The sequence below is a fragment of the Homo sapiens genome, chromosome 6, assembly GCF_000001405.40.
Source record: "Homo sapiens chromosome 6, GRCh38.p14 Primary Assembly".
Lineage (NCBI taxonomy): Eukaryota > Metazoa > Chordata > Mammalia > Primates > Hominidae > Homo > Homo sapiens.
The window spans coordinates 70,532,872-70,559,039 of record NC_000006.12 but is presented as its reverse complement, the minus strand read 5'-3'; the positions used below and the strand labels follow the sequence as shown (position 1 = coordinate 70,559,039).

General features: G+C 36.6%; 1 protein-coding gene across 53 annotated transcripts in view; it reads right to left on the bottom strand.

The window, feature by feature from the left end:
* Positions 1–26,168, bottom strand: part of FAM135A (family with sequence similarity 135 member A) — a 147,667-nt gene that overhangs the window by 2,135 nt on the left and 119,364 nt on the right. For all 53 annotated transcript variants that reach the window (XM_047419158.1, XM_047419165.1, XM_047419169.1 and 50 more), the window contains 5 exons: positions 25,789–25,880; positions 25,186–25,283; positions 22,629–22,780; positions 20,639–20,749; positions 2,177–2,290 (listed from right to left, as the gene is read on the bottom strand). In XM_047419158.1, coding sequence (XP_047275114.1) covers positions 2,177–2,290; positions 20,639–20,749; positions 22,629–22,780; positions 25,186–25,283; positions 25,789–25,880 — 567 coding nt within the window. The remainder of the gene's footprint in view (positions 1–2,176; positions 2,291–20,638; positions 20,750–22,628; positions 22,781–25,185; positions 25,284–25,788; positions 25,881–26,168) is intronic.

The following is a 26,168-nucleotide window of genomic DNA, read 5'->3' as shown; positions in this document are numbered from 1 at the left end:
TTGATAAGGCAAAATTATAAACTTGGCCTACAGCAAATACTTTAAAGATGTTTCTGTGGCAGTCAAAATTTCCAAATTATTTTAAGAAAGAACAGCAACCTCCTATAGTCAGATGAACAACGTGAGCTTGGCTCAAGTAACATGATCTTCTGTTTGGTCTATAGGTTTATTTAGTACTTGTGTTCCTCTCTCCTTATTTTTGTTTTCTTTTTTTGTTTTTGGAGACAGGGTGTCACTCTGTTACCCAGGCTGGAATGCAGCGGCATGATCACAACTCACTGCAGCCTCCACATCACAGGCTCAAGCAATCCTTCCATCTTAACCCTCCCAAGTAGCTGGGACCACACAGGCGTGCACCACCATTTTAATTAGCCTAGCTAATTTTTTATTTTTGGTAGAATGGGGTCTTGCTATGTTGCCCAAGCTAGTCTCAGAGTCCTGGACTCAGGTGATCCTCCTGCCTCAGCCTCCCAAAGTGCTGGGATTACAGGCATGAGCCACTGCGCCCAAACAATGTTTAGCTAATTCTTACAATGGATTTACTGAGGTCATACTAAGCACATAAAAGATAACGATTAGAATACATCCACATAAATGTATAAACTGCCTTCTAAGGGGCAAAACATTGTTTACAATGCTTATGCATTACTATATACTAATAAATGAGTACTAACAGTGTCCATGGAACGTGTGAGCTTTAGAGAGGTAAATATTAAATTTCAGAAGACAGGTAGGATGCTGCCTGAGGAATGACAAGAAGGGAAAAGTACACAGAAGTACAATCAGATATAGAAAAGAGAGGTGTTTAAGAGAAAGACTGACTTAATACATACTCATCAAAAAACTTTTTACTCCCACCTCTCCTCTTAGTTTTCATTTTGAGTCAGGTTGGATTTGTGGTTCCATGCTATTTTAAAAATATGTTAATACAGGAAGAAGTCTAAACATGTCTTCATCATTTGATTCCCCTTGTTCCCCAATGTCACAGAACCTCACTATTAAAATAAGGGACATTTATCTAGTTTCAGCTACTCATCTGAAGGTTAAGACTCTTCTGAATTTTTTCCTTAGGTGGACTCTAGCCTTTGCTAGAACAGAAGTTAAGAAAAGGTTATTTTGATGTCACAAATGTACAATAAAGGAGTACTTACCATGTAGCAGGCAGCATGTTAGGCACTGTCAATAAAAATGTGCTTAAGACAGTTCTTGCCTTAAGGAGCTGTTCACCGTCACAATGTAGAAAAATAAAGGATTAAGAGTTTAAAATCAGCCTCATTCCAAAAACGGATCTGAGGCAATATTGAGAGGTAGGAGACCAGGGTTTTTTTTTTTTTTTTTTTTTTTTGAGACAGAGTTTCGTTCTTGTCTCTCAGGCTGCAGTGCAACAGCATGATCTTGGCTCACTGCAACCTTTCCCTCCCGGGTTCAAGCTATTCTCGTGCCTCAGCCTCCCAAGTAGCTGGGATTACAGGTACCCGCCATCACGCCCGGCTAATTTTTGTATTTTTAGTAGAGACGGGGTTTCACCATGTTGGCCAGGCTGGTCTCGAACTCCTGACCTCAGGTGATCTACCTGCCTTGGCCTCCCAAAGTACTGGGATTACAGGCAGGAGCCACCACGCCCGGAGACCAGGTTCTTGACCTAAGTCTGTAATTAACTGATTCGGGCTAAGCCACTTAGTATCTCTGGGCTTTAGTTATAAAATGAGTAAACAGGACTCAAGTTTCCTTCTGGCTCCAAATGGCTATACTTTAAATTTATTTTGTTATTCACAAATAGCAAAAGAACAAATAAAGTCTTTATCATTTACTATCAGTAAAGAGGGGCAAATCCTTGCTGCCACCTTTGCGTAAAAGCGAGGTACAGCAGAACATATGACAAGGATGACTACAATTGTCAATCCCATTAATTCAGAGGAAATCAAAGTATGAACTACTTCTGAGGCAGCAAAATGGAGAGGCATTTGTAATTAGATGAAAGTATTACTTCATTGGTAAAGGCAGTTCACGTGGCAGGTGAGAAGAATGGAAAAAGGACAGCTGTTAATATAAGTGGGTGGAAAGGAAGTAACAGGAAAGAGAAGGGTGACAGATACGAGAGAAAGTGACTACAAGAAAAATTTTGGAAAGAGCTCATTAATACCTATAACTCTTTGAAATAATTTTATTCCATTACCTGACTGTTTGTCCTTTAAAGCTGTTTTACACATTTCAATGCGGGCAGAGTGATAAGGAACATAGCGATCCTGTAGGGATCCCACTAGCACAACATTTTTGAAATAATGAAGCCCTGTGAATAGAATATAATAAATTATAATGCAGTAGTTAACTAGATTTTAAACAAGTTATTAGTATCATATTAAGTGACCAAAAAATAAATTTCCTTAGCAGTACTAAGTTTCTGACTTTGTCAATACTTGATGATCCTTTCTCCAAATTTCTGTATGTTCTCTACAAAAAAACCCACCTCACTGTTATGTAGTCTTGATGCTGATATAAGAATGTGTGTTTGCACTGGGAGCAGGCACTGTTGCTCAGTGGTGTGGAGATAGGCGGGAACAGAATATGTGGACTAATGTTCTATAGAAAGTATTCCATGACATTCTTACCTTCCAAAAGGTATTCATCAATATTTAGGACTATTTCCAAAGAAACAAAATTATACTCTTCCATTAAAACAAACAAAACACCTCACAGTACATCATTTAAAGCTTTTTACTTTCTTTTCATTTTTAACACTTGCTTAATATGATTTATATTTTCTTTTTTTAAATTATTATTATTATTTTTTGAGATAGAGTCTCACTTTGTTGCCCAGGCTGGAGTGCAGTGGTGCAATCTCGGCTCACTGCAACCTCTGCCTCCTGGGTTCAAGTGATTCTCGTGCCTCAGCCTCCTGAGTAGCTGGAATTACAGGTGTGGGCCACCACACCTGGCTAATTTTTGCATTTTCAGTAGAGATGGGGTTTCACCATATTGGCCAGGCTGGTCTTGAACTCCTGGCCTCAAAGTGATCTGCCCACCTCTCAAAATGCTGGGATTACAGGAATGAACCACCATGCCTGGCCTAAGGATCTTAATCATGAGATGAGTATGGATTCACACACAGCCAAGTGTGACCGTATGATACTATCTATGCCAAAAATAAGGCCATCCTTAGATTATACCACTTTTTTGGGGGAGGTGACATTTTGAATGTATACAATCCTAAGGAGATAAATGAAATAATCAAGTATCTATTATAGAAGTTAATTGAACATATATTTAAAATAATATTGTATAAAATATTAAGAAAAAATGACTCCCCCCCCTTCATTCTCACATCTCGTGACACAATTTAACACTAATATCTTCATCATTATCAGTACTACTTTGGGAATCATCTATGTGTCCTAGAGCACAGGTATTCATACATTTACCCCTGGAGTCATCTAAGACTCTCTATGGTGTAGATAGGTGTGTATAGCTTTAAGAAAACTGATTTCCAGGCTGGGCGAGGTGGCTCATGCCTGTAATCTCAGAACTTTGGGAGGTCGAGGGGGGAAAATTGCCTGAGCCCAAGAGTTTGAGACCAGCCTGGGCAACGAAGTGAGATCCTGTCTCTACGAAAATTAGCCAGGTGTGGTGCTGCATAACTGTAGTCTCACTCAGGAGGCTGAGGTGGGAGGACCCCTTGAGCCCAGGAGGTGCAGGCTGCAGTGAGCCATGGCTGTAGCACTGCACTCCAGCCCAGGTGACAGAGCAAGAGCTTGTCTCTAAAAATAAAAAAGAAAAAAAGAAAATTGATTTCCAGATCCCAACCTCCAGATGTGTTTTTTTTCTAAAAGTGACTTGACTTTTTCCCACTTTACAAGAGAAAGATATTATCTCTCCAATCTACTTCAGATCTTATTAAGGTATATGGCCCTAGGGTATAAAAGTCTCTGGAAAACCAAGCAAAATATAAAGTCTAACTTTTTCTGACAAAAAGTCAATTTGACTTGACTGTTTATGACAGTGAGAAATGGCTTTGCCAATTGGATTTTATGGCACACATTTCCTATAAATTGAATGAGCTAAATCTGTAATTCCAATAGAATGAGTTGAGATGTTATATTTTATGAAAATATAATTAATGGCTGGGTATGGTGGCTCACTCCTATAATCCCAGCACTTTGGGAGGCCGAGGGTGGATCACCTGAGGTCAGGAGTTCGAGACCAGCCTGGCCAACATGGCGAAACCCATCTCTACCAAAAATACAAAAATTAGCTAGGCATGGTGGCAGCCACCTATAATCCTAACTACTCAGGAGGCTGAGGCAGGAGAATCGCTTGAACCCAGGAGGCGGAGGTTGCAGTGAGCTGATATTGTGCCACTGCACTCCAGCCTGGGCGACAAAAGAGACTCCGTCTCAAAAAACAAAAACCAAAAAAACCCCCCAAAACCAAATAAATGAACCTGTACCTGGACCTTATACTCCTCTGCTGTTACCCATTTCTTGGCACAGTGTTGTAGCAAAATTCTTCATGAGTTTTCTACGTGTCTCCCTTCTCTTCCTTTCCTCCTGTTCTTTACTGAACCTATTCCCAGAAGTCTTTCTTCCTAATTACTCCATGTAAATTGCTCTTTCAAGATCACCAATGACCTAGACAATGCTAAAAATTTAAGGATCAATTCTCAGGCCTCATCTTATTTGACCAAATTTTAATTCTACCTGGTAGCCTGAATTTACATCCGAAATACAATGGTTATTTCAGGCCAGTATATCTTCTCCAAGTAAGTCCAAATAAAGTAACTGAGAAATCATCTTGTGTTAGTGATTTCAATATAAGGCAGCACTCTCTTTTCTGATGGGTAATTTTAGGAGAGAAAACAAAACTTACTTTGTTTTCAGGCATATATGACATTTTATTCTTTACTCATCTCTCTAATTATCATTTTTGTATCTGCTCCTCAAATCTAAATTTCTGGCCTGCTTTTCTTGCCAGATACCTTGACACAAAGCTTTGTGTCACTTTAATACGCACTATGCCTAACACCAAATTCTATTTCCAAAATTTTGCTTGCTATCTTTCTTAAATTCTTTATTCTATAAGCCTATTATTATTCTAGTCCAATGAGAAATATTGGCCACCTTTAATTATTAATTCCCTCATATATACTACAACATCAAGTTTGGCTTGCTTCATATGTAGTACATGTTGCTTTCTCCTCTTACCAGTATCACTGCTATTCTCTACTTGCTGGTCTCATGACTTCCATTATAAATTTCTTTCCTGAGAGTTTTATTTTATATGTTTCTTTCAAATTAAATTTTATTTTTAATTGTTTGGAAGAATTTTAAATTTATATCTGCTTCTTTTTAAAAAAAAGATTTCATTGTAACGTTTAGAAAATTTCACATCCATTATAAAAATTAAGTTATGCAACATGTCTGGGAGGGATAAAAAAGTGACCATATCTTTGATCTGTCCCTGTTTAAAGTATCAGATTAAATTTTTATATTAGAAAGTATGTGTCTTCCCTCAAAAAATATCAATATTGGCTCCCACATATTAAGGTCCACTCAATTTAGCTAAGTAGTCTGTAACATCAAAATCTGGCCCTAACTTTTGGTGGGAACTAGGAACTTATCAAGTTGAGGCAGTCTAGTTGAGAATAAAGGACACATTGGACTAGGGATCAGGAGACTGATTAGTTTAGGGTTAAAATGCTGTATCTCTGAGAATACCATTTTATTTCAGCGTAGTATGGAACTATTGTTAATGAATGTAAACAAATCAACAGGTTAAAGGAGAACTTCTATGGTGTGCAGTTATAGGTGGGTCCAGAAACTGATCTGGTTAGCTTTCTCAGATGACTGGGCATGGCTGAAGTCCCCAGGCTGGTCTCCTCTGCTGGGGGGAGCAACATGGTTGGTTCACTGGTTTATCTAATAATGGCTTCCCCAATTGTGCTTTAAAAATATAATCATTTGCTATTGATGCCTGATGTGAAAAAGGTTGGAAGAGGAGGCTGGGTTAAACTATTTTTAGTGCTCTATATTGAAAAAAAGATGTAAAATATTTTACTAATTTCTCTCCAAGTTAAAAAAAATTAAAAATATGTTAGTGCTTAGTGCTGAACAAACAGTAGGCTCTCAAATATGCTGGCTAACAACAGATTTGATTTTTAATAATTCTGTAAGTGGCTCCTGAAATGCGTATTTCTCAAGGGTTCTGGATAGGTGACATATAACTGTGTTCCCTCTCTCTCTCCCTACCCTTTTTTATTTTTAGAACTGAAGCAGTTTGGCTGGGCGCAGTGGCTCGTGCCTGTAATCCTAGCACTTTGGGAGGCCGAGCTGGGTGGATCACAAGGTCAGGAATTTGAGACCAGCCTGGCCAATATGGTGAAACCCCGTCTCTACCAAAGATACAAAAAATTAGCTGGGCACGGTGGCAGGCACCTGTAATCCCAGTTACTTGGTAGGCTGAGGCAGGAAAATCGCTTGAACCCAGAAGGCGGAGGTTGCAGTGAGCCAAGATCACGCCACTGTACTCCAGCCTGAGCAACAGAGCAAGCCTCCGTCTCAAAAAAAAAAAAAAAAAAAAAGAATCTTCAACTATTCCCCCTTTACTACCTCCTCTTGCCTTCCCCCTCGCCCCGCCGCTCCTGCTGCCATTCACTAAGGACACAGCTAACAGTTGTGTACAGGCATGCCTCATTTTTTTGCATTTTTCTTAACTGAGGTTTATATAAAGGGTTTATATAAAGGGTTTATATAAAGCAGAAACCAGGCTCAATTGTATTTGGATTACTTATATAAGATACATTATGTATAAATTAATGTCACTGATGTCTGTTCTTTCTGAAAATTCATAGTAATATAACATTTTGCCAGATGTTTGTTAGTATTGTTTACAACTCCAGAAGATTGTACACTTAAAAGGTTTAACTTTTTCAAATTCAATATTTTTAAAGCAATCAGTTTTATACAGGTATACCTTGTTTAACTATACTTTGCTTTACTGTGCTCTGCAGATATTATGTTTTTTACAAATTGAAGGTGGTAACCCTGCATTGAGCAAGTCCATTGGCACCATTTTTCCAATAGTACATATTCACTTTGTGTCTCTGTGTCACATTTTGGTAATTCTTACAATATTCAAACTTTTTCATTATTTTTATATCTGTTATGGTGATCTGTGATCAGTGATCTTTGATGTTACTATTGGAATTGTTTTGCAATGCCATGAACCATGCCTATGTAAGACAGTGAACTTATGGACTATGCTCTGACTGCTCCACCAACTGGCCATTTCCAGTCTCTCTCCCTCTCTCCTTGGGCCTCTCTAATCCCTGAGACACAATTATATGGGAAGTGGACTGATCAATAACCCCACAATGGCATCTAAATGCTCAAGCAAAAGGAAAAGTCACGTCTCTCACATTAATTATTTTTATTTTTTGAGACAGGGTCTCACTCTGACCCAGGCTACAGTGCAGTGGTGCAATCATGACTCATTGCGGCCTCTACCTCCTGGGCTCAAGGGATCCTCCCACTTCAACCTCCCAAGTAGCTGAAACAACAGGTATGCGACAGCACATTGGGTATTTTTTTTGTTATTTTTTGTAGAAATAGGTGCTCATTGTGTTGCCCAGGCTGATCTCAAACTCCTAGGATTCGGAGATTCCCAGCCTCGGCCTTGCAAAGTTCTGGAATTACAGGCGTGAGCCACCATGCCTGGCTCTGTTTCTTACTTTAAATCAAAAGCTAGAAATGATTAAGCTTAGTGAGGAAGGCATATCAAAAGCCAAGACACGCTGAAAAGCAGGCTTCTTGTGCCAAAGAGTTAGTCAAGATGTGAATGCAAAGGAAAAGTTCTTGAAGGAAATTAAAAGGGCTACTCTAGTGAAAACACAAATGATGAGACACCAAAACAGTTTTATTGCTGATGCGGAGAAGGTTTGGATGGCGTGGATGAAAGATCAAACCTGCTGCAACATTCCCTTAGCCAAAGCTTAATCCAGAGCAGGACCCTAACTCTTTTCAATTATCTCAAGGCTGAGAGAAGTGAAGAAGCTGCACAGAACAGCTGGAAGCCAGCAGAAGTTTAAGGAAAGATGTTGTCTCCATAACATAAAAGTGGAAGGTGAGGCAGCAAGTGCTGATGGAGAAGCTATGGCAAGTTATCTGGAAGATCTAGCTAAGGTATATGACAAGACTACACTAAAAAGCAGATTTTCAATGTTGAAAAAATTGCCTTCTATTGAAAGAAGATGCCATCCATGACTTCATAGATAGAAAGGAATCAATGCCTGGCTTCAAAGCTTCAAAGGGCAAGCTGACTCTCTTGTTACGGATTAATGCAGCTGGGGCCTTGAAATCAATACTTATCATTCCTAAAATCCTGGAGCCCTTAAGAATTATATGAAATCTACTCTGTGCTCTATTAATGGAACAACAAAGCCTGGATTACAGCACATCTGTTTACAGCATGGGTTACTGAATATTTTAAGCCCACAGTTGAGACCTATAACTCAGAAAAAAAGATTCCTTTCAAAATATTACTGCTCATTAACAATCCCCCTACTCAACCAAGACCTCTCATGGAGATATACAAGGAGATTAATGATGTTTCCATGTGGGCTAACACAAAATCTATTCTGCAGCCCAAGTGATCCATTAGTTATTTTGACTTTCAAGTCTTATTACTTAAGAAATACATTTTGTAAGGTGATAGCTGCCATAGGTAGTGATTCCTTTGATGGATCTGAGCAAAGTAAAATGAAAAGCTTTTGGAAAAAATTCACCATTACAGATGCCATTAAGAACATTCATGATTCATGGGAGGAGGTCAAATATCTACAAGAACAGAAGTTTGGAAGAGGCTGATTCCAACCTTCATGGATAACTTTGAGGGGGTCAAGACTTCAGTGAAGAAAGTAACTGCAGATGTGGTGGAAATAGCAAGAGAACTACAATTAGAAGTGGAGCCTGAAGATGTGACTGAATGGCTGCAATCTCATGATCAAACTTGAATAGATGAAGAGTTGCTTCTTATAGATGAACAGAGAAAGTGGTTTCTTGAGATGGAATCTATGCCTGGTAAAGATGCTGTGAACATTGCTGAAATGACAACAAAAGACTTGGAATATTACATAAAGAGTTGAAAAAGCAGTGGCAGGGTTTGAGAGGATTGATTCTAATTTTGAAAGAAGTTCTACTACAGGTAAAATACTATCAAACAGCATCATATGCTACAGAGATATCTTTTGTGAAAGGAAGAGTCAATAATACAGCAAACCTCGTTGTTGTAATTTAAGAAATTGCCATAGCCACCTCTATCTTCAGCAACCACCACCCTGATTGGCAAAAACATTATGATTAACTGAAGGCTCAGATAATCATTAGCATTTTTAACAATAAAGTATTTTAAAATTAAAGTATGCATACTTTTTTTTAGATATAATGCTATTACACACTCTTGACTATAGTATAGTGTAAATATAACTTTTATATGCCCTGGGAAACCAAAAAAATTCATGTGACTCACCTTTTTTTATGGTGATCTGGAACCACATCCACAGTATCTCCAAGGCATGTCTGTATTTTGTCCCAAATTCCTTTCTTGGTATACACACAATTTATTTTTCATTTTAAAAATATAACTGAGATTATAGTATTTATACTATTTTATGTCTTTTTTCACTTAATATTTTGGGGACAGCTTTTCATGTTTGTATAAATAAATTTATCTCATTCTTTTAACTACTACATGGAATTACCAGGATTAACTTTTAGTATGTCTCCTATTTCCCTAGCAAAGGACATTTATGTCGATTCCACTTCAGAAGGGAGAGGACATAAAAAAAGTATAACACTGTAATGAATAGCCTTTACCTCATTGTGTGAGATTTCTGTAGGAAAAATTCCAAAAGTGGAATTGTTGAGTATGTTCTTAAAATTCTGATAAATGTACTCTCCAAAAAGATAATAAAATTTCTCCTTCCACCACTAATATATGAAGGTTTCTGTTTCACACACTCATCAATACTGTATAGCATCTTTTAAATTTTACCAACCTAATGGCAAAAATGATTAACTTATTGTTTATTGGCCTTCCATATATATATATTTTTTAATTTTTAATTTTATTTTTTGGTAGCTAACTGCCTCTTTTCTCTTTTGTCCATTTTTTTCTTTTGGGTTGTTATGTATTAGGAACAGCAGTACACATTATACCACTCAGGCATAAACAATATTACCTGTCACCTCCAGATGTGTGGTCTGTGAATGAATTATGTATTTGCCAGATTACATGATCATTAAAACTTCCTCACAAATTTCCCACTGATTAAGATTTTTAAAAGATTTCTATATTTGTAAGAATAAAAGGCATTATATATTTCTTCATAAAATTATATTAAAGACATTTTTCAAAATAGCTCTTTACAGAGATTCTGATGTACTTCTCTAGAGAAACAACACTAAGGTTTGGAATTACTGCTTTAGACTGAGATCCCTGCAGGGTGTCTATGGCTCCTCATGTTCACGCAGCTCAGTGGAAGCAGGCAAAATCAGTAAAGATTAGTCAGAGGATTTCAAAGATACCCTTTCACTCTCAGATTCCATGATGATAAAATAAATTTAAAAATTCTGATACTGATTAAATACACTATGTTGTTACACTTCTAAATGTGATTCTTACGACAGTACTGTACTTTAAAAATGCATTTTAAACTTGGTAACCAGTTTTCTAGTTATTTAAAAAAAGTGTATTAATACTGATATTGTGCTTTTGCACAGAAGGTTTGCTTTTTATATTAGCCAAGAACCAAGTTAGTTAAATATATTATGGCCCTTTTTGAACCTTTTGGCTTCAATTTCTTGTCTACCAGTGTTGGCTACAGAAGGCAGAAACTCAAAGTGAAGCACAGCAAGCTCCAGAGGAGCAGTGCTGGTAGGAATTACAGCAGTACTTCATCTGAGTTGAAGTACAGCCAACAAAAATGTCTGAAGTCTATTTTGGGAGCTAATATTCTAGGTTTATCTTTTCTACACCTACCTTGATTCTAGCTTCTCAAAGACAACGTAGTTAACTAGTCCGTGGGTGAATACTTCACTGAGCCCCTCAAGTGGCTAATTATTTGTTGAACGGTTACCTTTAATTTGGGAAAGTGACAAGATTTCCCTATTTATAGGATGACATGGTTTAACCAGAAAAATCTGTAAGTATGTTGTTACTTTTTACCAAGAAAAAGATTAAATCTTCCATATTGCTCTGGACTATATAATAACATGATTGATATATGAACACCTTAATTGAAACTTTCATCTTCATAGTCTAAAGTCTTTCCAATTCTTCTGGCTACTCATTTGTTCTAAAACTTCAGAGTTTTAATGCAATTCACTTTGAGTCATTTTGTGTTTACTTTCTGGAACTGGCTAAAGCAGTGGTTCTAAACTGGTGATTTTCTGCTCCAAGGAATATTCTGCAGCATCTGAAGATATTTTTGGTCATCACTGCTGAAGGTGGAAAAGTGTATGTGCTACTGGCATCTAGTGGGCAGAGGCCAGAGATACTGCTAAACATGCTACAATGTTCAAGACAACCCCTGAAAACAAAGAATTCTCCAGCCCAGAATATCAATAGTGCTGAAGCTAAGAAAACTCTGTACTTTTAAAACATATTCTTAACAATATTAAACTATTCTTATTTTTACTCATTTTAAATAAATTTGAATGAATTTTCTTCCTAAAATAATGTTAGCTGATGCTGGTTCTTTCCCGCACTTTCAGAAACAAAATATACATATTATTTACATATCAAAAGTGATACCTAAGATTAAATCCCTTTGTAACCTCCTGGATACAAAGAGTCCTTTGTGCCACAGTAGGACAGCAGGACCTTTATTTAATTTCTATACTTTATTTGTCAGAATTCAACAGCTGGTAAAAAGACTCTAAGCAGGTATTTTTAGGAAGATCTTAAAATAAGGATATATTGTTTTTGAAATTCCAACAATGAATAGACTCTTTTTTGGCTATTTTGAGCCCTCATTATGGAATGTCAGAGTGGCCATGATTCCTCTCTCTGCTTTAGTAATATAATCTTGACTACTTCAACACTGCTGTCATCTAATGTCTATATATTATACATTTATTTTACTTTCCACATTGCTCTAGCTCCTTCATCTTTCTTTTCCCTGCTATCCAATGCTGAGATGCTTGTATGCCACCTGCAAATTATTTACATATTCTGTTAGCAATCTGTAGAATACCACAGGTTTTGTCAAAAGTTGCTATAAAAATTTAATGAATGTTTATAATTGTAATTCCTTAATCAAAATAGATAATTTCCCTTTAAAAGTAACATTTCTGTAACCCTTTACCAGATCTATTGTGTTCACAAAAAAGGTAATTTCTCACCCAATACATTTATGATTTTTATAAAAAATACAGTATTTCTCAATTGTTTTACAAAACACACAAATTATTTTAGGCTTTTAAAAAGCTTTCTTCATTTTAAAATAATGAACAGCTTTCAATAAAAGGAAAGCTATTAACTAATGATATGTTGCATAGAAAAAGACTGTTTCAAAAGGAAGACCCACAGAAGAGGCTTTGCTTAAATAAAAAAGGCAAAAGGGCAAATGGCTGGATTTTGATTTAGACAAGTAATTTTAGGCTTTTCCAAAAGAACGGAAAATTCGCTGTTCAGAAGAAACTGAAGCAATAATCAAACCAGGGCATCCAAGACTGTAGCTTTAGAATAATAAAATATAAAAAAGAAATGATCACTTTTGATTGTTTTAAAACACTTGAGAATAGCATATTGGTTAAGTACTCTTTTTCTTTGTTCTATGTTTTCCTGTTTTATTTAACTTATTTGTTTGCTGTGAACCTATATATTCTATTTTGTGAATAAAGTAATTATATGTAAATATACAGGCATAGCAACTTTCTAGGGATGGACTACTCATTTCTCACAATTCACTAGATATGCCCCCCCGAAAAAAAAACCCCAAAACCCAACACCCCACATGAAATAGTTCGAGAGACTTGTTTCAATCTCTACAACGTAATTTTAAAATCAATTGAAATACTTGTTGATATTTAAAAGTGCTATTAGAAGTAGCTTTTTAAGTTCCTGAAAATGTATATTATTGGCTTAACATGATGCAGTGTGAACCATGCACGAATGCTTACTGGCTTTTCATAAAGCTAAGTGACCTCAGGCAAGTCATTCAATCTCTCTGTGCTTCAGTGTCCTCATCTGCAAAGTGGGGACAATATTCCTACCCTAGAGGGTTAAATAAGCTAATATGTATGTGTTTAAATCACACCTAGAACGTGGTAAATGTTACATGTGTATTAGCTATTATTATTTTTCCAGTATTTTAGTATTAACCAATGCATTAGTCACAATTACTAGAAAATGGTACTCTTTTTCTTTTTGAGATGGAGTCTTGCTCTGTTGCCCAGGCTGGAGTATAGTGGCAGGATCCCGGCTCACTGCAGGCCTCCAACTCCTGGGTTCAAGCAATTCTCCTGCCTCAGCCTTCTGAGTAGCTGGGATTACAGGTGTGCGCCACCACACTGGACTAATTTTTTTGTATTTTTAGTAGAGACAGGGTTTCACCATGTTGGCCAGACTGGTCTCAAGCTCCTGACCTCAGGTGATCCACTCACCTTGGCCTCTCAAAGTGCTGGGATTACATGCATGAGCCACCGTGCCCAGCCAGAAAATAGTACTCTTTAGTGTTTTTTCCCAGAATGGATATTAATTCAATTCAGGTATATACTAATAAACTCGTGAGTACAAAGAGAAATCTTAAAACATAAAAACAATTTTAAGTCATTCAAATAATTTTTATAGCTAGTAATATCAGCATTTAGATAAAAGTTCTGTTAAAAAAATTTTCCTAAGATAGATATATATTGTTTGTGTAAAAGTCAATTTCTGTAATCTATAATACTCGTGGTTTTTTTTGTTTGTTTGTTTTTGTTTGTTTTTTTTTTGAGACAGAGTTTCAGTCTTGTTGCCCAGGCTGGAGTGCAATGGTGCGATCTTGGCTCACTGCATCCTACGCCTCCTGGGTTCAAATGATTCTCCTGCCTCAGCCTCCCTAGTAGCTAGGATTATAGGCACCCGCCACCACGCCTGGCTAATTTTTATATTTTTAGTAGAGATGGGGTTTCACCATGTTGGCCAGGCTGGTCTCGAACTCCTTTCCTCAGGTGATCCACCTGCCTCAGCCTCCCAAAGTACGGGGATTACAGGCGTGAGCCACTGTGCCTAGCGCTAGTGGGCTTTATTTTTTTTTAAGTTTTTGAGACAAAGTCTGGCTCTATCCCCCGCTGGAGTGTAGTGGCACAACCTCAGGTCACTGCAGCCTCCACATCCCTGGTTCAAGCAATTCTTGTGCCTCAGCCTCTGGAGTGGCTGGGATTACAGGTACACATGACCATGCCTAGCTAATTTTTGTATTTTTTTGTAGAGATGAGGTTTCACCATGTTGCCCAGGCTGGTCTTCTTTTTTTTGGGATGGAGTTTTGCTCTTGTTGCCCAGGCTGGAGTGCAATGGCGAGATCTCGGTTCACTGCAACCTCCGCCTCCCAGGTTCAAGCGATTCTCCTGCCTCAGCCTCCCGAGTAGCTGGGATTACAGGCATACACCACCATGCCTGGCTAATTTTGTATTTTTAGTAGAGATGGGGTTGGTCAGGATGGTCTCGAACTCCCAACCTTAGGTGATCTGCCTGCCTCAGCCTCCCAAAGTGCTGGGATTACAGGCGTGAGCCACCATGCCCAGTGTCCAGGCTGGCCTTAAACTCCTAAGCCCAAGCAATTCACCTGCCTCAGCCTCCCAAACTGGAGAGATTACAGGTGTGAGCTACCGCACCTAGCTTATGATATTTCCGCACCTAGCTTATTTAAGTCATTTATTCATTTTTTTTTTTTTACCATTTACTAAGTTTTGAACTCTACAGAATCACTTTACACATATTATCTCATTTAATCCTTTTAATAATCTTATGAGATACTACTATTCTCATTGACCAATAAGGAAACGAGTTTATTTAAATTAGGTAGCCTAGTCAGTGTTTGAACTATAACTAATACCTATGTGTGATGTCAGAGTTTGGTTCTTAACAGTTTTAGACTAGTACAACCAGATCACGCACTATAAGGCAAATAATAAATTAATAACTTAAAAGAAAAAAATTGAACTAATCTTTACAGTTATATTTTCTTTACAGTTTAGATATTCTTATGTTGCTATTATTATTGCTAATTAAATGTTACTTTGTATAATGCTGTATAAAGACATAGACCTCAGGAACACTTATGTTCAGCTTTGCCTTTCACGTATTTCCTAACCTGTCAGCAAAGGGTATGAACTCCATAGCTCCACACAACGGTTCTAGCTAATATTGTTTTTCTCACATAAGAAGCATATGCCATGTTTCATTTTGTAGGAATATTTTGTAATTTGATCAATCAAGTATATATTTCTGTATACTGTAAGAAACTTACCATTGATGCTCTGTATCATTACAAACAAAATCATAAAACCCAATCTATAAGAGAATTTTCCTTTCACTGATTCTAATAGTAGACAGTACATGTAATAATCATTCCCAAATCTCTTTCTCATATTAAGAACAACATTTAAGGCAGAATCCTGAAAAAGCTAAAACAGGACTCAAAAGCAGTGGTATTTTCAATAACTAAATCTATTAATATCAAATATTTCAAGAGTAGAATGGAAGACATGGGTGATAGGAATGAGGATAAGAACAGATGTAGGTTTAAATGGCCAGGGCTTAAGTTCACAAATTCAAGTAACTTCAGACTTGGAACTACCAGTCGCTGAATATATGGGCTAGATTTACATCTTACTATATAATATTTAAACTGTTTTTGAATATTGAAAATAATATTAAAAATATCATTGATTCATTTGTTAATTCAATCGGTGTACACTAGAAGAGCTATGGTACATACTGAATATGTATGTGGGAAATGGGAATGAGTAGTCATGACAGATCCTACTTAAGGAAAGGAAGTTAATACATAAAAATAACTGACATGAGATAAACTATAATGAGTATGGTAAAAGGTTGATATATAATGCTATGGAAATTCAGAGATAATATTAACAATTTTGAGACATGGGAGGCAAAGAAGTGAGGTCAATCAAAGATGACCCTAAGGTGTTTCAAAGGAGTAATTGAGAGAACAGTACCATTAAAAAAAGGACAACAGGAGAGGCGGCCAAAGAAGACATACAGTTTTAGACATATTCAGTTTGATATGTAAATTGAGATGTCTAGCAGGCAAATGAGGATTGAAATTCATTAATAAAATCAGTCCTGGAGACATAAGATTGGGGACATAAAAGTATATATGGGACAGCTGAGATGGGAGAATTGCTTGATCCACGAGTTCAAGGCTGCAGTGAGCTATGATTGTGCCATTGCACTCCAGCCTGGGTGACAGCATGAGACCCTGTCTCAAAAAACCCCAAAGGTATACAGCGAGTATTCTGAGAGTAGAGGAGCATTAAATCAGATAGGGCATCAAGAAAAGCTTTTGATAGCAGGTGGCATTAGAGTTTAATTTTAGAAGGTAAACAGAATTAGTTCTGAAAAGATGGGTAAACACATGAGGAGGTACAAAACACATGAGGTGATACAAAAACACATGATACAAAAACACATGAGGTGATACAAAAAGCATGAGAAAATGCAAGCAATCAAAAACCATGAATAGCATGACCACAGCAAAGGGTGTGTGTGTGTGTGTGTGTGTGTGTGTGCAGGATAAAAAGAAAACAGAGAATCAGAGACCAGATTATAGAGGACTTGATGCTCTTATCCATGGAATCTAAACTTCACTGTGAATACCACAAAGCATCATGAAAGATTTTCAAATGAGACCAATATGGTTTGATATTAGATGGCCAATATAATCTATGGCTTCACTGGATGATCATTTCGTCTAACGAGGAAGTGAGAATGGGGAGAAGGGGGTATACATGTGGCAGGGTAACCAGTTTGAACAATAATTTAAATAAAAGTGATGAAGGCTAAACTAAGGCAGTGGCAAAGAAGAAGAGAAGCATCCATCAGCCACTAAGAAGGTTAAATGTTTTAAAACTTGGCAATTCTGTAGATATGGGGTATAAATAAGAAAGCAGAGTCAAGAACACTTTCTAAGTTTCTCACTAGGCAGATGATGCCATTCCAGTAGATGTGGAATCCAGAGAAGTAATCAGGGGACAGATGCACTGTCTGAAAACACTAGATTTGAAGCACCCATGAGACATCTCCATGAAGATGCTAAGTAAGCCTCTAGGTGTATAAGTCTAGAGCACAGCACAGAGGACAAGCTAGAGATATATATTAATATTTGAGAGCTACCAATGGTAAAGATGGATATGGAATGATGCTGTCCAAGAAGAATGTACAGAGTGAGAAGAGCAGAAGACAGAGGCTAAAACACAAGAACAGCTTTCATAAAGGGGCAAGGAAAGAAAAGAAACCCATATAGGAAGCAGAAAAAAAGCCAAGATGGAAAAAAACCAGGAGAGGTGGATCCCACAAAAATGGAGAAAGGAAAATATTTCAAGAAGGAGTTTTCAGTAGTCTTAAATGTCTTAATATTCAAATAAAAGCAAAGAGATCACTGGATTTGGCAAGCTTCAGTGGAGTGGTGCAGACAGAAACCAAAAAAGTGAAAAAAAGGGGGGAGTAATAAAGTGACTGTTCTTTCAAAAGGTTCAACCCTACCCCCCAACACTCTCAGAAAAAGGGGAAAGGGGGACAAGTACAGAATAAGAGATCAACAGAAATATTTATTATTATTATTAAGATGGAAGAAATGGGAATAACTTTATCTATTAAAGGATTAATTACTGAAAGAGTAAGAGTTTAAAGATACTGATGAGAAGGTATGAGTTCCAAAACAGAGAGGGTAATTATTCTTGAACAGATTATAAATCTTTCACTGAACTAAAAGGAAAACATAGGTTAATTAATGTTGGTAGGTAGAAAGAAATGTCTTGAACTTCAAAGATAAAGTAGAAAGCAAAAGCAAAGCTAACTGTGAGAAATGAAGGGAGCAGTGAAAACCTGATGTTTGAGGAAAGGTGAAACTTTGGGAGAGTGTCTAAGGGAATAGATAGGAAGCTAACTAAAGATAACTAGATAGGGACCCTGTGGACCTACAGTGCTGCTGATTCTGCATGTCTGTGTGATCTTTTTTGGAAGAGATCAAAGGCTAGGTATAAAAACAGTAATATAGATTTGCAAGATGACTAGGATAGAAAAACAAAGAGTAATACATGAAAGACAAAAGTAATCCATGAAGTCTGAGACTTGAGTCAGGAAGGGAGTAAAACCATGAACGGGAGGGAGACTTAAGAAAATGTAGCAGGAATTAGCCAGGTGCGGTGGCTCACGCCTGTAATCCCAGCACTTTAGGAGGCCGAGGCGGGCGGATCACAAGGTCAGGAGATCGAGACCAGCCTGGCTAACATGGTGAAACCCCGTCTCTACTAAAAAATACAAAAAATTAGCTGGGCGTGGTGGCGGGCGCCTGTAGTCCCAGCTACTCAGGAGGCTGAGGCAGGAGAATGGTGTGAACTCGGGAGGCGGAGCTTGCAGCGAGCCGAGATCGTGCCACTGCACTCCAGCCTGGGCGGCAGAGCGAGACTCCGTCTCAAAAAAAAAAAAAAAAAAAAAAAAGTAGCAGGAATCATAAATGAGTCTAAAAAGCAGATGAGAAGGGAGTGAGAGAAAAAGAAGGATAAGACATCACAGTAACAGAATGGAACGTTGGCTGAAATTTCAGGACTACAGTGTAGCCGTGGGTATGAGTTCAACATGGAGTGGAATGAAGGGACACTGGAGTTGAGAAAGGCATGGTGATGCATAATGAATTATCTAAAGGGTTGACTCATCAAATTACCAAAAATGATTCCAGATCTAAGTACGTTAAGACCCAAGAGGAGAATCTTTTCCCAAACATAATCATGTTACAAACATTTGTCAATGTCTTTCTTTTTTTTGAGACGGAGTCTCACTCTGTCTCCCAGCCTGGAGTGCAGTGGCATGATCGCGGCTCACTGCAAGCTCCGCCTCCCAGGTTCACGCCATTCTCCTGCCTCAGCCTCCCGAGTAGCTGGGACTACAGGTGCCCACCACCACGCCTGGCTAATTTTTTTGTATTTTTAGTAGAGACGGGGTTTCACCGTGTTAGCCAGGATGGTCTCGATCTCCTGACCTCGTGATCCGCCCGCCTCAGGCTCCCAAAGTGCTGGGATTACAGGCGTGAGCCACCACGCCCGGCCGTGTCAATGTCTTTTATTCTCCTGGGATAACCAGGAGGTCATTATATTAAAGAATAATAGATGGTAGCACAGCTTGGATGATACAAGCCTCAAATAAAGTGGTTTTATATAACAGTGGAGGAGTAATGATTGCAATTAGAAATGGAAAGCAAGAGGGCTATTTTCCTTACTTTAGGTGGTACTTAGTAAACGACGAACTGAGCTTCTATAGCAGGTATTAGCAAGACATGGCCTGTGAGATTTGGCTACTGCTGTTTTTGAATTAATAAAGTTTGTCTGAAACACAGTCATGCTCATTTGTTTCTGTATTTTCTGTGGTTGTTTTCATACTACAATGGTATTGTTAAGTAGTTGCAAAGAGATTGTATGGCTTACAAAACCAAAATACTTACTATCTGGCCTTTTTTAAAAAAAAGTTTGCCAAACTCCACTCTGTAGCCAGGGGAGTGAAGACATGGGGGCGAGGAGGGGAAGAAAAAAATCTGTTTCAGTTACGTCTCCACTTTCAGAAGTAAGCGGCAATAACATTCTTCGAAGAAAATAAAGGCAGTCTGTTCCCCTCAAATGAGGATTTCAAAGGACACTGGAAAAAATATGCTGGGAAGATGTATGAGGGTGAATTGAGGGAGATCATAAGGTCAGAAGTAAGGTTATTTATAGACAGTAAAAATGGCAAAGGAGCAGTTGGGAACTTTAGGTTGTAAAGGCCTGGAATATATATGCAAGATGGGGAATATGTTTAATAATTAGTTAATAAAAAATAAGTAATAAGATTTATCCAGTAGTGAGAATTGTAGAAAGGATAATCATTAATAGTTTAGTTTCTGACACTTTCAGAAATGCTTGCTAGCCATATAATATAATATAATATAATATAATATAATATAATATAATATAATATAATATAACATAACATAATATGAAGGTAGAAAAACGTGGCAGTTTATAAAAAGGGGTGAGGATTGGGGTGGGAGACAGCTAGAACAGCGGGGATAGGACATGCAGAAACATGGTCTAAAAACATAGACTAACAAAACTGGCACTGAGTTACAAATGTTGAAATTCTTAGGGCAATTTCAAAGTAGCTGTGTAGCTCACAAAAGAGAAATACAGTCATGTGAAAAAGACTAAAGAAATCTCTTTCAACTGCTTAGTTTCAGTTCTGAGTTTGCTGTTTCATTATTAGGAAATTACAGTAGAATGACACTTTTTTTTAACCACTAGAAAGACATGTTGATAATTTATTTGCTAAATGTTTATTTTTTAAAAAGTTTTCACATGTATATTTTCCAAACTGTTATTATATACTTACCTGCTTTGTTACTAAGCTTATATAAAAAAGTTTGGCGAGGGTCTGAGTGATCTCGACATGTCAGCTGCAAAAGCGAACCTGATTTTTTCCATTTCTGCATAAACCAGAGACCTAGAGAGTCATATATGATATAGAAGTATGAAATGAAATATATAAAAACATATGCCAAGATTATTAATTTTAATATATATTTCACTTCAAAAGATGACATTGCCTAAATTAGCATTTTTGTTGGCTAATCAAAAATATATTTGGAAAATATTTCCATGTTCCGATAACATTTATAAACATGCATGCTTAGGTTAATTATGAATTAATGGTGGTTGATGGACAGCTTGCTATTTCTATTTCATTCAGTAATGAAACAGATAATAGCATATGAAGAACAAACTGGAAAAATTATACCTTTCAATATATTTGTTCAAATGATAAAGAAGAAGATGAAGAAAAACTTCAAATACAGTAGTAAGTCAAATGCCTATGCAGAATGATCAGTCTATAATTACAGTTTAGTTATGACATAATAGACTAATTGCAAACAGACCACATCTTAGAATGAAAAATTGTTTAATGTTTTCTAATAACAGCTGAATATCATTTGTTTTATATTAATTATTTTTTTATATTATCAGTAACCCATATTTAAATGCATCTTGCTCTTCAGGAAATTAAGCAAAATTTCAATCACTCAAGTTGGTTTTCAAGACTATGAAATATTCTTTTCCATTTTCATTGCTTCTAATATTAGGGAAACAGGAGAAAATTAAAGGAAAACAATCCTTTAATTGGTTAAAACTGATAGCTGGAAACATATCTGGGAAAAAGTTTAGTGAAGAATGAAATTCAAAGTACTACATTCGATTCATGTTGGGTTCTATTATACATTATTTAAGGACTTCATTTTTCTCATTTCCTCTTTTTCAAACTGTAGAAGTCTAGAACTGGCTGTATTTTTAAATCACCAACTTGAAATGGGATACAGGAAAAATGGTATGGTTTGTCATTAAAAGGAAGTGGTAAAGGAAATAGCAATAAGATTTTCAGGGATCAATGAAAAGAGACAGAGTTAAATATAATTTATTCTCACAGTGGGAATCAATTGACTAATTTATAGATCATTTTTGCAAACATCTAAGGGAAAAACCAAGCCAAACAAAAGGCAAATCAAGGCCAGGCGCAGTGGCTCACACCTGTAATCCTAGCACTTTGGGAGGCCGAGGCGGGCGGATCACGAGGTCAGGAGATCAAGACCATTCTGGCCAACATGGTGAAACCCCGTCTCTACTAAAAATACAAAAATTAGCTGGGTATGGTGGCGTATGCCTGTAATCCCAGCTACTCCGGAGGCTGAGGCAGGAGAATCGCTTGAACCAGGGAGTCAAAAGTTGCAGTGAGCCGAGATCGCGCCACTGCACTCCAGCCTGGTGACAGAGTGAGACTCTGTCCTAAAAAAAAAAAAAAAAAAAATCAAAGTACCAAATATTTGTTGATGAGAATATAAATACTAATCAAATTTAGGGTCTTAACTTTCATATTAACTTCTTCAGAAATTCTGAATCACCTTCGTAAAAATTATATTCTCATATCTCTTTACTCTTTTTGAACCAAAATTAGCTAATATTCTATATAAAATGTTATAACTTGATAATGTATTAAATGTAGGTGTTTGTTATCTGTTCAAGTAATGGGATGACAAAACTGTTTATAAGATAAAACTTTACTAAAAATATTTAGAATTTAATGAAAAAAAGAAAAAAATGCTCTTGTGAATTTTGACAAATACCATCTCAATATAAGAAAAGCCATTTTCTAAAATGACTTTTATCAACTTATTTCATGTGCATAACAAAACAGAAAATTAGCTACATTTTTTATTTCACGAAATTTCCAGTATGTGACAAACTGGTTCTAAAATAAACACCAGAAAATACTAAGTTCATATTTTTCTCCCTATTCCATATTTTTAATACAGAACAATAAAACTTTTTACCTGTATTAACAAGAGCACTGCTGTTGTAGAGTGTACCAAGGTGAGGTCCAGAAAGAGACAGAAAGGTATGAAGTTTGTTGAGGTAATATTTAAACCTTGGCCTTGTAAGCACTGAACGAATTATTAAATTGCCCAACGAATGTCCAATAAAGCTTTAAGAGGAAAAAAAAATTAATTTTCTCACAGCATTAGTTTTAGAAACAAAAATCAAAGCTGATCCACTATAAAATGGATGTGAATACTAACAATTTGAAAATTTCTAATGTTGTAAAAGTATAGTGATACTTTGAAATGATATACCACATTTTGAAGGAAAAAATGTGAGAATGTATAGAAGATCCTCATTATTACATAATTTAAATGTTTATAGAAACAACATATTAATCTGAAAACTTTTACTCATAGTTTGTAACTGCTTAGATATAAGTACGTATTAAAGATAATAATATAATGACTAGATTACATATTTGCCTTCTTAGGTACATACACAAATTATTTACTTCTTAATTCATCATTTCAAACAAAATGATGAAATTGTATTTATAAACGACAACTTGGGGAAATTATATATCTGTTTCTCTTATTCTCTGGTCTATACTTCAAAGATGGACAGTTTTTGACTAACAATATTTTCAAGGCATAGGTAAAATATATGCATTTTCCTACTATGAATCTTCGATTATGCAAAAAGAATAATATTTATGTAGCTAGCACTTCACTTTTGTTATGAAATGGTTTAAATCAGTGGTCCCCAACCTTTTTGGCACCAGGGACTGGTTTCACCAAAGACAATCTTTCCACAAACAGGAGTTGTGGGGATGCTTTTGGGATGAAACTATTCCAACTCAGGCACTAGATTCTCATAAGGAACACACAGCCTAGATCCCTCGCATGGGCAGTTTAAAATAGCGTTCACAAATCTAATGCTCACCGATGATCTGACAGGAGGCTGAGCTCAGGTGGTAATGCTTGCTCACCCGCCCCAGTGCTCCTGCTGTGAGGTCTGGTTCCTAAGAGGCCACAGACAGGTACCAGTCTGTGGCCCAGGGTTTGGGGACCCCTGGTTTAAATCAAAATAGCCTGTTTACTTACTGTTATTTTACAACAGATGGTATAAGATTCCCTGGGGACAATTAGCAGTGAAAGAGAGCTTGAGAGCTGTCTAAACACTGGCTTACAGGTATATCTTGCGAGACGCTCAGGACAAACTTCCCTCCCGAACTGAACTTCCTAAAGTAGTGGGGGTGGGAATTCTGATGGTAGCTGACAGTCTACAATCAACCAGATTACACTTCTGGAAAATGATTGATTATAACTGACAATCTAACCTGAAAGACAATACTTTTGAGGAGGAATAAATAAGTTGAAATATTATTTTTCTCATCATAAAATAAATGAATAAAAGCTAACAAGATTTTAAGATCCACAAATGAATAATTACAACAAGAAAATAATCTCTTCCTCCAAACAACAAACCTGAACCTTCTCCCATATTTTAACAGAATTCTGTTTTTTAAAAAATGACTTTAGGTAGAAACTGCTTATCTCTCTTCTTATTCCCTATACTTCGAGTTGGAAACAAACTGCCCAAAAGCTTACAGTATGCAGAACCAGCTTCTTCCTCTAACCTAGTTGGGATATGAATATAGTCAGTTTATTCTACCCTTTTGGAAACAAAGACTCTTCTCTCCTACATCTATTAACAAGATCTAATTAAATAATGAAACTCATACTGGTGTAATCATCATGTCTTGCTTGTGGAAAACTGACTCACAAAAGTATACAGCAGTCATAAAATCTGGCTGGGCAAGGTGGCACACATCTGTAATCCCAGCACTTTGGGAGGCCAAGGTGAGAGGATCACTTGAGCTCAGGAGTTCGAGACCAGCCTGGGTAACACGGTGAAACCCCCATCTCTACAAAAATTAGCTGGACATGGTGGTGCATGCCTGTAATCCCAGCTACTTGGGGGGCTGAGGTGGGAGGATCGCCTGAGCCCAGGGGTTTGAGACTGCAGTGAGCCGAGATGGCGCCACTGCTCTCTAGCCTGGGTGACTGAGCAACACCCTGCCTCAAAAAAAAAAAAAAAAAAAAAAAAAGTATACAAACTTTGAAAGTATTTTTGTTGCTTCATATACATATATCATATACATATATCATATACATATATGTAACTCACAGAGCCTATACTTCTTCCACTTAAAGTGTACAATTCAATGTTTTAAAATATATTCACAGAGTTTTAACTCTCACTATAATCAATTTTAGGACCTTTTTTCCACCTCAAAAAGAAATCCTATATCCTGTAGTTATCCCCACCATCCCCCATCTTCCCCAGCTCTAAGCAAACACTAACCTATTTTCTTCTCTACAGATACACTTTTTTGGACATTTCATATAAATCTTTCCCTAAAATCTTTACTTTTTTTCACTATAAATTAATTTGAGTTGTAGTCTCCTATATTTCAGAATAGGACAACCCTATCACAAATTCTGTTTAACTTTTATACAATTCATAGAAATATAAAAATAAATTGCATAATATTAAAGAAGATACCTTATTTTTGAGACTGTTAGACTATATATCTGAATATACTGTATTATCTCATCCAAAAGACGATCAGTCATGCTATCAAAATCAGCAAAAGTATCATTCTAAAAAGAAAGCAAAGCACATACATTATATTTGGGAATATGTATAATCACATGAAAAACTAACAATATAAACATTTTTAATTTAGGTACTGAAAGTATGGTTAAGTTCAATGTTTTATAGAGAAGTTAGTGAGTGTAATTTTTTTATCTTAAAACGAGCAAAGAGAGTAAATTTCTAGGGGAAAAAAAGGTTCAGTGTTCTTAAAATACTTGCATTATTTGTTTGTTTAGCTCACTACCAGTATGAAACATAAGATGTTTACAATGGTTTAATTAATGAAATATTTCTATAGAAATGTGAAATTCTAGAAATATTTCATATGTGAAGAGATCATAAGTCAAAATGTAAATCATATATATTTCCTTTGGATATACATTTATATTAAATTTCATAGAAATCAGAAAAATTATTTCTACTATTACAGGCATTTTGTAGTAAGGCAAAATTTAGGTAGAAACTGGTACAAAAATGTTTGTTTTCACTGAAAACACTGTCATATTGTACCTGATTTCTCTCAGACATAAGAAAATCAATTCTTCCCCCAGGCAATCCAAGTTCAATGTAAGTTTTTACTAATCGGAGATCTGCACTGTTTCCTAAAAAATGAAAAATGATGTTTAAAGGATGAGATAAAGTAAAAGGTAGAAAGTACACCATCACATATTTTTACAGTTTTTAGAGACAAGCTTATGGCCTATGCCATTTGTGAACAGACAATATACAATGAAATAGAGTTCTCAATTTTTATGTCAAAGCTGATTTCTATTAGCCAGGCAATGTCAATTCAACAGTTTTTGTTTTCTTTTTTCTTTCTTTTTTTTTTTGAGATGGAGTCTTGCTCTGTCGCCCAAGCTGGAGTGCAGTGGCATGATCTCGACTCACTG